We start from the raw sequence: 12117 nt of genomic DNA, 5'->3' as shown, positions 1-12117 counted from the left end.
TCTGCCTCAGCCTCCTAAGTAGGTAGTACTATAGGTATGTGTCACCATGCCCAGCTAATTTTAAAATTTTTTGTAGAGATGAGGTCCCACTATGTTGTCCAGTCTGGTCTTAAAATCCTGGCCTCAAGCGATCTGCCTGCCTTGGTCTCCCAAAGTGCTGAGATTACAGGCATGAGCCACTGTGCCAGACTGTATCAGTTTTTTTTTTTAAAGTGGTTAGAGTTGCATAGTTTTCTTGTATTATTTTAGTGTTCTAAAACATCTTTTTCTAATTAACAATTGAAATAATAATTACTTACACAGTGTTAGTATGGAAAGATAGGGTATTTCTCTTAATATTGATCTAGGGGGTTCTGCTTTGGTTTTCCCTGAGAGGTCAATAGAAAGGAGCAGGCAAGTCTAATGACTTATGGTTGAAACAACAACTAATTTACTTCCTATAGTGATATGATTTTTTAACTTATATCCCAAAAGGCCAATGCATCCAAAGAAGAATGGTAAGTTATGTCCTAACAATGAATCAGTAAATTGGCAGGAAGCGAAGTTGGAACATTTAAAAGAAAATACCAAACATAGGAATTTTTTTACTTGCTCTTCCACCATGCTTCCTACTCACCGTTGAGGGCCTTCACACCTTTGAGCAATCTATTCTTATATACCTTTCCACTAGTTGTAAGATAAGACACAATTCAGAATATGGGTTAAATGATGGGAAGACTAAAAAATCAGCACAAAGACAACACAACATCCATAATTTCAGGGAAAAAAACCCCTTTCAATTTGCTTGGAAGTTTCTTCTCTGTTACATTTAAGAATGAAACCAAAGATAAAGAACACTTTCCCTGTTATAAATCTATCCACTGGTTGAATAAAATACAGTATTTCCCTATTTCTGTCTTTTTCCTTCCTTTTCTTTCTTCCCTGGTTTCCTTCTCATCGGTCATGATAAGATTAGGCAGTGCTCCCAGGGGGACAGGATAATATAGCCCGGATGGTGGGACACCCCCGGTGAAAGATGTTGCTAGCTTTCGGTATTAAAATATAAGCAACAAAAACAGGCAACAAGATTTTTTTTTTTTTTTTTGAGAGACGGAGTCTTGCTCTGTCGCCCAGGCTGAAGTGCAGTGGCATGATCTTGGCTCACTGCAACCTCCATCTCCCAGGTTCAAGCAATTCTCCTGCCTCAGCCTCCTGTGTAGCTGGGATTACAGGCATATGCCACCATGCCTGGCTAATTTTTGTATTTTTAGTAGAGACAGGGTTTCACCATGTTGGCCAGGCTGTTCTCGAACTCCTGACCTCTTGATCCACCCACCTCGGCCTCCCAAAGTGCTGAGAGCCACCGCGTCTGGCCAAGATGTCTTTTAGTGTGATAACTGTGTTTTCTAGAGGAGGTTTACTGGGCATATACATGTATAATTTAAGAAGTTTTCACACACAAGCCCCTAAATCCAAGTCTCAAAGGATGTGGTAAATACTCACTGCGAATTGGCAGAGTTTTCAGCAGCTTCTCGTGCTCCTCATCAGTGAGTACGAGCCCCATTTTCCTCAGCTCATTCCCCAGATTACTGACATTAACTTTTTCTCCTTTGGAAAGATGGGAATTGTTAACATATAAGAATTTTAGGACGAGAATAATGATTTCAAATTATGAAAAAAATTACCGGCCAGGTGCAGTGGCTCACGCCTGTAATCCCACACTCTGGGAAGCCGAAGTGGGTGGATCACCTGAGGTCAGGAGTTCAAGACCAGCCTGGCCAACATGGTGAAACCCCATCTCTACTAAAAATACAAAAATTAGCCGGGTGTGGTGGCACACACCTGTAATCCCAGCTACTCGGGAGGCTGAGGCAGGAGAATCGCTTGAACCCGGGAGGTGGAGGTTGCAGTGAGCCAAGATCGTGCCATTGCACTCTAGCCTGGGCAACAAGAGTGAGACTCCGTTTCAGAAAAAAACAAACAAACAAACAAAAAACAAACAAACCTCTACATAATATAAGTCTCTACAGGAAAAATCCCAAATCAAAGAGTAAGATTATGAAACAAACATTTAACCGTTACATTTGTAGGGGTGTCAATTTAGCATGTTAGTAATAGTCTGAAGAGAAAACTGCTATTTAAATATATTTTTTATGAGACAGGTTTTTGCTCTGTCTCCCAGGCAGGAGTGCAGTGGTAATCATAGCTCACTGCAGCCTAAAACTCCTGGGCTCAGCTGCCTCAGCCTCCCAAGTAGTTGGGACTACAGGCACATGCCACCATGTCCGCCTAATTTTTTTTTTTTGTAGAGACATGGTATTGCTTTGTTGCCTCAGGCTGGTCTTGAACTCCTGGTCTCAAGTGATCCTCCTGCCTCAGCCTCTCAAAGTTCTGGGTTTACAGCCGTGAGCCCACATGCCCAGCCAAAATCTACTGTTTAAAAACATTTACATTTTTTTCTCTATAGAGCATTAAGGTCTTAGTTAAAAATGAATGCCCTTCTCACCATGACTTCTGACTCACCTGTAAAAGCTTTTGCTTCATCCATCACCACATTCACATCAACCATTTCATTTTCTGTGAGACGAGACAAGTCAGACATAGAGACCAAATCTTAGACAACTGACATGAAAATTTAAGTTGTAATATAAAGGTTGGAATTCAGCTATTTCTCCTAATTTTCTCTAGTAACTCTTTTAACTCAAAGTGAAGAAGAAACAGAGGGTAGAAAAAGATCAAGCCGTAAGTTTAAAGTGAACACCTACTTCATTAATACCACTTTCTATAAAGCATCAAATGACTCAACATTGAGATGAAGCAAGTTTAACAGTAATCCCTTCTATAGGCTTTTCTCTTCCTTCGGACCCATAAGGGGAGCATATTTTAATAGACATGATTGAATTTGAAACCTAGAAGTCACTTATGTACATAAACAGTGAACCTTTAAACCTTGAAGGAATGCTATCTTCTTAATCTCCAAATTTTGCTTATGTTCCCACCTCTACCCATCAAGACTGTAATCTACTTGAGTGCAGAAATTATGCCTTAATTTTATTATACTACTGGGTTTAAATTTTCCACTCTCTAGTTCATTATTTTGCATATAGTATGTGCTAGCTAAACAAATGAAAAAATTCAGTGGTATGGAAATAGTCACACTATTGGATGAGAAAAAAAATTGTCATTAAAAAAAATAAAGAATTCTAAAAAATACCTCATCAGTAACAATATTTTCCAGCAGGAAGCATTTTTGAGGACCCCCTAGCTAAACATGTAGGGACAACATTACAATTAAAAAGTAATTTATGGTGACTTTTTTCAGGATAGGAGGAAGGGCCAGACAAAATTATGGATAATTATCAATGTTGTTAAGCCTAGGGAGCGTGAGGTTTTAAACTACAAATTACGGCTGGGCAGGGTGGCTCATGCCTGTAATCCCAGCACTTTGGGAGGGCAAGGCATGCAGATCACTTGAGGTCAGGAGTTTGAGACCAGCCTGGCCAACATGGGGAAACCTTGCTTCTATTAAAAATACAAAAATTAGGTTGGGTGAGGTGGCTCATGCCTGTAATCCCAGCATTTTGGGAGGCCGAGGCAGGTGGATCACTTGAGGTCAGGAGTTGGAGACCAGCCTGGCCAACAAGGTGAAACAGCACAATATTATATTGTATTGTAATTATTATAAACAATACAAATAATTATTTGTATTTTTAAATACAAAAAATTAGCCGTGCGTGGTGGCGGGTGCCTGTAATCCCAGCTACTCGGGAGGCTGAGGCAGGAGAATTGCTTGAAGCTGGGAGGCGGAGGTTGCAGTGAGCTGAGATCGCACCACTGCACTCCAGCCTAGGCGACAGAGGGAGACTTCATGTCAAAAACAAAAGAAAAAACAAACAAACAAAAACGAACCCACAAAAATTAGCTGGGTGTGGTAGTGCATGCCCGTAATCCCAGCTACTTGGGAAATTGAGGCATGAGACTTGCTTGAACCCGGGAGGTGGAGGTTGCAGTGAGCCGAGACTACGCCACTGCACTCCAGCCTGGGTGACAGAGCAAGACTCGGTCTCAACAAAACAAAACAAAAAACTACAAATTAGGCCAAAACTGTTTTCTATATTAGGGCCAGCTACAGGTGAAGGTAGCATGGAAGATGTCTGCTGATAGCAGTGGCCTACTTTAGTTACACCTGCCCATTGCTAGTTGAGAACAGAAACCCTGAATTAGGGGAGAAAAATTATTTATTTTGGGTTGGCATGTGCTGGCTCTACTGAAAGATGTGCTGTCTGGCTGTCTGATGGAAGCTTGTTTTTGAAGGGGAAGAGCCATCTAATAAGGAAATCTTAGCCAGGGGCTCATTCCTTAGCAATTTCTTCCTAATGAATTATTCTAGCTTTGCCTCCGACAGTTTTGTCTAGTTAAAACGGTCTTACTGAGTTATTAATAAAACTTTGTCTTATTATAAAAAGGTTTACTTGGGAAGGAATTAAGGGAGGGAGGGAAGGAAACAGGGAGGGAGGTAGGAGAATGTATGAAGCAAGTATGGCAAAATAGTAGCATTTGTTAACTCTGGCCAGTGGGCACACAATGTTTGTTATGTTATTCTCTGTTTTTAGGTATGTTTGAAATATTTCATAAGCTTTTCAAAGAGGTTAAAAAATAGGTTTACTTTCAGAAGCCTTCCTACAGAAGCCCTGCGTTTCTCCTAGGTACAGTGGTATCTGAAACACTTACCATCAACTGGCAGATGGTTCAGTAGGTCCTCATATTCCTCTTTCCCAACTTCGATTTCTATATTATTTAGAAGAGTTTCCAGATTACTGACATTGACTTTTTTTCCTTAGGAATTAAGAGGATGGAATAAGAAAAACAAGTAATTTGAAGAAGTGGAAGATGCCAGCTTTATTATTATTATTATTATTATTATTATTATTATTACTATTTTTGAGATGGAGTTTCACTCTTGTTGCCCAGGTTGGAATGGCATGATCTCAGCTCACTGCAACCTCTGCCTCCTGGGTTCAAGTGATTCTCCTGCCTCAGCCTCCCAGATAGCTGGGATTACAGGTGTGTGCCACCACGCTCAGCTAATTTTTGTATTTTTAGTAGAGATGGGGTTTCACCATGTTGGCCAGGCTGGTCTCAAACTCCTGACCTCAGGTGATCTGTCTGCCTCGGCCTCCCAAAGTTTTGGGATTATAGGTGTGAGCCACTGCACCCGGCCCAGAAGATGCTAACTTTAAATATGCATTTATATCAAGTGGAGAATGAAATAATATATTGGCCACTCAGTGTCAGAGTTGAGAAGAGAAAATGCTCCCTCAACATTGAGCTATAATTTTCAATTGAAGTAATATGGATGAAAAAGAATTAGACAAATTTGATAAATTGTGGTAAAGATAACAAACCTAAATGAAAGCAGAATTTCTTTTTCTTTTCTTTTCTTTTTTTTTTTTGAGATGGAGTTTCGCTCTTGTTGCCCAAGCTGGAGTGCAATGGCGCGATCTTGGCTCACTGCAACCTCTGCCTCCCAGGTTCAAATGATTCTCCTGCCTCAGCCTCCCAAGTAGCTGGGATTACAGGCATGTGCCACCATGCCCGGCTAATTTTTGTGTTTTAGTAAAGATGGGGTTGCTCCATGTTGGTCAGGCTGGCCTTGAACTCCCGACCTCAGATGATCCGCCCACCTTGGCCTCCCAAAGTGCTGGGATTACAGGCATGAGCCATGGCGCCTGGCCCAGAATTTCTTTTTCTTTTTAAGATAGGATTTTTTTCTGTCGCCCATGCTGGAGTGCAGTGGCATGATCCTGGCTCCCTGCAGCCTCGACCTCCTGGGCTCAAGTGATCCTCCCACCTCAGCCTCCCAAGTAGCTGGGGCCACAAATGCATACCAGCAGGCCAGCTAATTTTTTCTTATTTTTTGAAGAGATGGGGTCTCCCTAAGTTGCCCAGGCTGCTCTTGAACTCCTGGGTTCAAGTGAGGGAATAATTGAGGAAAACTTCCCTGAACTTGCTAGAGATCCAGACATTCAAATACAAGAAGCTCAAAGAACACCTGGGAAATTTATTGCAAAAAGGTCATCACCTAGGCACACAGTCATCAGGTTATCCAAAGTTAGGATGAAGGAAAGAATCTTAAGAGCTGTGAGGCAAAAACCACCAGGTGACCTATAAAGGAAAGCCTATCAGATTAACAGCAGATTTCTCAGCAGAAACCTATGAGCTAGAAGGAATTGGGGCCCTATCTTTAGCCTCCTTAAAGTATACTATCAGCCAATAATTTTGTATCCAGTGAAATTAAGCTCCATAAATAAAGGAAAGATACAGTCTTTTTCAGACAAACAAATGCTTTGAGAATTCATCACTACCAAGCCAGCACTACAAGAACTGCTAAAAGGAGCTCTAAATCTTGAAACAAATCCTCAAAATACACCAAAATATACACCAAAATAGAACCTCCTTAAAGCATAAATCTCACAGGACCTATAAAACAATGACACAATAAAAACAAACAGACAAACAAACAAACAAAACCACACACGATATTCAGGCAAAAGCAGCACGATGAACAGAATAGTACCACACATCTCAACACTAATGTTGAATGTAAATGACCTAAATGCTCCACTTAAAAGATACAGAATGGCTAAGAATTCATCAAACAAGTATCTGCTGCCTTCAGGAGACTCACTTAACACATAAGGACTCACATAAACTTAAGATAAGGGGTGGAAAAAGATATTCCATGCAAATGGACGCCAAAACAGAGCAGGAGTAGCTATGCTTGTATCACACTAAACAAACTTTAAAGCAACAGCAGTTAAAAAAGGCAAAGAGGGGCATTATATAATGATAAAAGGACTTGTCCAGGAAAATATCACAATCCTAAATATATATGCACCTAACACTGAAGTTCCCAAATTTATAAAACAATTACTAATAGACCTAAGAAATGAGACAGACAGCAACACAGTAATAATGGGGGACTTCAATACTCCACTGATAGCAGTAGACAGGTCATCAAGACAGAAAGTCAACAAAGAAACAACGGGTTTAAACTGTATCCTAGAACAAATGGACTTAACAGATATTTACAGAACATTCTATCCAACAACTGCAGAATATACATTCTATTCATCAGCATATGGAACATTCTCCAAGTTGAACATATGATAGGGCATAAAACAAGTCTCAACAAATTTAAGGAAACTGAAATAGTAGCCAAGTACTCTCTCACACCACAGTGGAATAAAATTGGAAATAAACTCTAAAAGGGGTTTGATACACATACATGGAAATTAAATAACTTGTTCCTGAATGATTGTTGGGCTAACAATGTAATCAAGATGGAAATTAAAAAATTCTTTGAGCTGAATGATAATAGTGATACAACCTATCAAAAGCTCTGGGATACAGAAAAGGCAGTGCTAACAGGAAGGTTCATAGCCTTAAATGCCTACATCAAAAAGTCTGAAGGAGCACAAATAGACAATCTAAGGACACACTTCAAGGAACTAGAGAAACAAGAACAAACCAAACCCTAACCCAGCAGAAGAAAAGAAATAACCAAGATCAGAGCAGAACTAAATGAAATTGAAACAAAAAAATACAAAAGAATTACGAAACAAAAAGCTGGTTCTTTGAAAAGATAAATAAAATCGATAGACCATTAGTAAGATTAACCAAGAAAAGAAGAGGGAAGATCCAAATAAGCTCAATTAGAAACAAAATAGGAGATATTACAACTGATACTACAGAAATACAAAAGATCATTCAAGGCTACTATGAACACCTTTACATGAATAAACTAGAAAACCTAAAGGAGATGGATAAATTTCTGGAAATACACAACCCTCTTAGATTAAGCCAGAAAGAAACAGAAACTCTAAACAGACCAGTAACAAGCAGCAAGATTGAAATGATAATAAAAAATTGCCAAGAAAATAAAGTCCAGGACCAGATGGATTCACAGCTGAATTCTATCAGAAATTCAAAGAAGAATTGGTACCAATCCTATTGACACCATTCCACAAGATAAAGAGGGATTCCTCCCTAAATCATTCTATGAAGCCGGTATCACCCTAATACAAAAACCAGGAAAAGACATAACCAAATAAGAAAACTACAGACCAGTATCCCTGATGAACATAGATGCAAAAATCTTTAACAAAATACTATACTAGCTAACCGAATCCAACAACATATCAAAAAGATAATCCACTATGATCAGGTGAATTTCATACCAGGGATGCAGTGATGGTTTAACATATGCAAGTCAGTAAATGTGGTACACCACATAAACAGAATTAAAAACAAAAATCACATCCTCATCTTAATAGATGCAGAAAAAGCATTTGACAAAATCCAGCATCCCTTTATGGTTAAAACTCTCAGCAAAATTGGCATACAAGGGACATACCTCAATGTAATAAAAGCCATCTATGACAAACCTGCAGCCAACATAATACTAAATGGGGAAAAGTTGAAAGCATTCCCTCTGATAACTGAAACAAGATAAGGATGCCCATTCACACCACTTCTGTTCAACATAGTAATGCAAGTCCTAGCCAGAGCAATCAGACAAGAGAAAGAAATAAAGGGCATCCAAATTGATAAGAAGGAAGTTAAACTGTTGCTGTTTGCTGATGACATGATTGTCTACCTAGAAAACCCTGAAGACTCCCCCAGAAAGCTGCTAGAACTGATAAAATAATTCAGCAGTTTCCAGATGCAAAATTAATGTACATAAATCAGTAGCTCTCCTGTATACCAACAGTAACCAAGCTGAGAATCAAATTAAGAACTCAACCTCTTTTACAATAGCTGCAAAAAAAAAAAATACTTAGGAATATACCTAACCAAGGAGGTGAAAGAACTCTACAAGGAAAACTACAAAACACTGCTGAAAGAAATTATAGACAACACAAACAAATGGAAACACATCCCATGCTCATGGATGGGTACATTCAATATTGTGAAAATGACCACATTGCCAAAAGCAATCTACAAATTCAATGGAATTCCCATCAAAATACCACCATCATTCTTCACAGAACTAGAAAAAACAATTCTAAAATTCATATGGAACAAAAAATGAGTCCACATAGCCAAAGCAAGACTAAGCAAAAATAACAAATCTGGAGGCATCACATTACCTGATTTCAAACTATACTATAAGGCCATAGTCACCAAAACAGCATAGTACTGGTATAAAAATAGGCACGGAACAGAATAGAGAACCCAGAAAAAAGCCAAATACTTACAGCCAACAGATCTTCAATAAAACAAACAAAAACGTAAACAGGTCAGGCATGGTGGCTCACGCCTATAATCCCAGCACTTTGGGAGGCCAAGGTGGGCAGATCACTTGAGGCCAGGAGCCTGGCCAACATGGTGAAACCCCATATCTACAAAAAAACCAAAATAAAACAAAAAAACAAAAAACATGAAGTGGGGAAAGGACACCCTATTCAACAAATGGTGCTGTAAAAATTGGCAAGCTACACGTGGGAGAATGAAACTGGGCCCTTATCTCTCACCTTATTCAAAAATCAACTCAAGATGAATCAAAGACTTAAATCTAAGACCCAAATCCATAAAAATTCTGGAAGATGACATCAGAAAAACTCTTCTAGACATTGGCTTAGGGAAAGATGTTATGGCCAAGAACTCAAAAACAAATGCAATGAAAAGAAAGATAAATAGATGTGACTTAATTAAAAAGCTTCTGCACAGCAAGAGAAATAATCAGCAGAGTAAACAGACAACTCACAGAGTGGGAGAAAATCTTTGCAAACTATACATCCAACAAAGGACAAATATCCACAATCTACAGGGAACTCAAACAAATCAGCAAGAAAAAACAAATCCCATCAACAAGTGGGCAAAGGACATGAATAGACAATTTTCAAAAGAAGACATACAAACAGCCAACAAATGTATGAAAAATGCTCAACATCACTAATGATCAGGGAAATGCAAATCAAAACCCCAATGTGGTACCACCTTACTCCTGCAAGAATGGCCATAATTAAAAAATCAAAAAATAATAGATGTTGGTGTGGATGTGGTAAAAAGGGAACACTTTTACACTGCTGGTGGGAATGTAAACTAGTATAACCACTATGGAAAACAGTATGGAAACTCCTTAAAGAACTAAAAGTAGATCTACCATTTGATCTAGCAATCCCACTACTGGGTATCTACCCAGAGGAAAAGAAGTCATTATATGAAAAAGACACATGAACATGCATGTTTATAGCAGCACAATTTGCAATTGCAAAAATATGGAACCAGCTTAAATGCCCATCGACCAATGAGTGGATAAAGACAATGTGGTACATATATATACCATGGAATACTACTCTGCCATAAAAAGGATGAAATAATGGCATTCACAGCAACTTGGATGGAGTTGGAGACCATTATTCTAAGTGAAGTAACTCAGGAATGGAAAAATGAACATTGTATGTTCTCATTTATAAGTGGGAGCTAAGCTATAAGGATGCAAAGGCATACAAACGATATAATGGACTCTGGGGACTCAAGGGGAAGGTTAGAAGTGGGGTGAGGGATAAGGCTACACATTGGGTGCAGTGTACATTGCTCGGGTAATGGGTGCACTAAAATCTCAGAAATTACCACTAAATAACTTATCCATGTAACCAAATACCACCTGTTCCCCCAAAGCTATTGAAATAATAAAAAAATATATAAAAATTCAAAAATAGGAGATTGGTCTGTATCCTGATGGATATATCTTTTCATCTCTTCTTATACTTTTTATTTTCTCTTACCCTCCCCTCATCTCTTTCTGTAATCTCTTTCTTCCTTATCCTACTCTTTTATTCCATTTTTTATCTCTCAAATATTTCTTTATTCTATCTTTCCATTCTTTTGGTATTCTTGTCCTCATAGAGACACTCTGAGACACTGTTTTAACCCTGGTGATGATTCTCACGGTTTGATGTACCTTGTTTAAAGATGAATAACTAATAATTAGGGAATGCATTTTCAATTGTCTGATACTGAGTGTCCTATAAGTACCTCAATTCAACTATATTTCAAAGATTTTTCTTCATTCTGCTTCCTCTGCTATCCTTCTCCCTGTTCTTAAAAATGGTTTTTTGGCAGTCACATAAGTGATAAACTTCTGGTGCACACTTTAGTATCTCCCTCCCTTTCACCCACCACATCAAATCAGTCTTCCCCATGTATGTGTGGTTCCCAGGTAAGGCCCTTATCACCTGTACCTTATTAACAGTATCTTAAATTGTATCTCTGTCCCCAGTTTTTCTCTCTCCAACATGTCTTTACTCTTTGCTTTCACAGTAGACTAGTCATTATCTACAGGATAAAGGTGTCTTAAATGCTCACCAGTCACTGGCATGTGAGTCTTCAGGTCGTTGATTTCTTTTGCTTCGAGTCTGAACCCAGTGTTTTGTAGAACACTTGTTAGGTCATTGACATTAACCTGCCCTCCTTCATAGAAACAAGAAAAAGTAGATAAGGATGTCATAAAATGAAAAATGCATACTCTCAACCCCTACTCAGAAATGAAAGCAGAAAGAAGCTATTTACAGCAAGTCATGTGGGCGTCAGGAACAGAATATGCTTCCAAAATTAAACTTCTGGAAGAAGTTTATACTGGGAGGAGAAGTAAAGAGTTTGGCATTTCTGATGAATTAGAGATAACAACCAAATCATGTTATTCTGTCAAAAAGTAAGATTTGAAATTTGCTACAGTAATAATAAATTATCTCCCAAGTGTAATTGTACATAAAGGAGGACTCCAGTTAATGGGGAAAATTACTGAAAACTATTGGTGTAGTTTTGATCAAATCATTCTGAAACATGGGGATTTAAAAAGAGTCAATAAAGAGTCAATATATATTTCAGATAAATAATTAAATGTAAAAAGTGAAATAATAGAAAAACAAAGAAAACTAAATATATGTGATTCTTCACACACTGGCTAGCTTATAAAGGACTTAAAAGTCAATCACAGAAGAAATGACTGATAAAATTAAATACATAAACATGAAAAATGGCCATATATCAAAATACAACATAATGGATAAAAAGTAGATTTGTAGTTGCCTAGGTCTGCGAGAGTTGGGGGGTATAAGTAGTGACTGCTAA

General features: G+C 38.5%; 1 long non-coding RNA gene across 1 annotated transcript; it reads right to left on the bottom strand.

The window, feature by feature from the left end:
• Positions 1-1490: 1490 nt before the first annotated feature.
• Positions 1491-11449, bottom strand: LOC105371936 (uncharacterized). Its single transcript, XR_934899.1, has 4 exons — positions 11353-11449; positions 4711-4815; positions 2503-2556; positions 1491-1587 (listed from the first exon to the last, which is right to left on the bottom strand). It is a non-coding gene; the product is annotated as an uncharacterized LOC105371936 (long non-coding RNA).
• Positions 11450-12117: the final 668 nt, after the last annotated feature.

This window comes from Homo sapiens, chromosome 17 (genome assembly GCF_000001405.40).
Source record: "Homo sapiens chromosome 17, GRCh38.p14 Primary Assembly".
Taxonomy (NCBI): Eukaryota; Metazoa; Chordata; class Mammalia; order Primates; family Hominidae; genus Homo; species Homo sapiens.
Note: the sequence above shows the minus strand (reverse complement) of the source record. Positions and strands in the feature narration are given on the sequence as shown.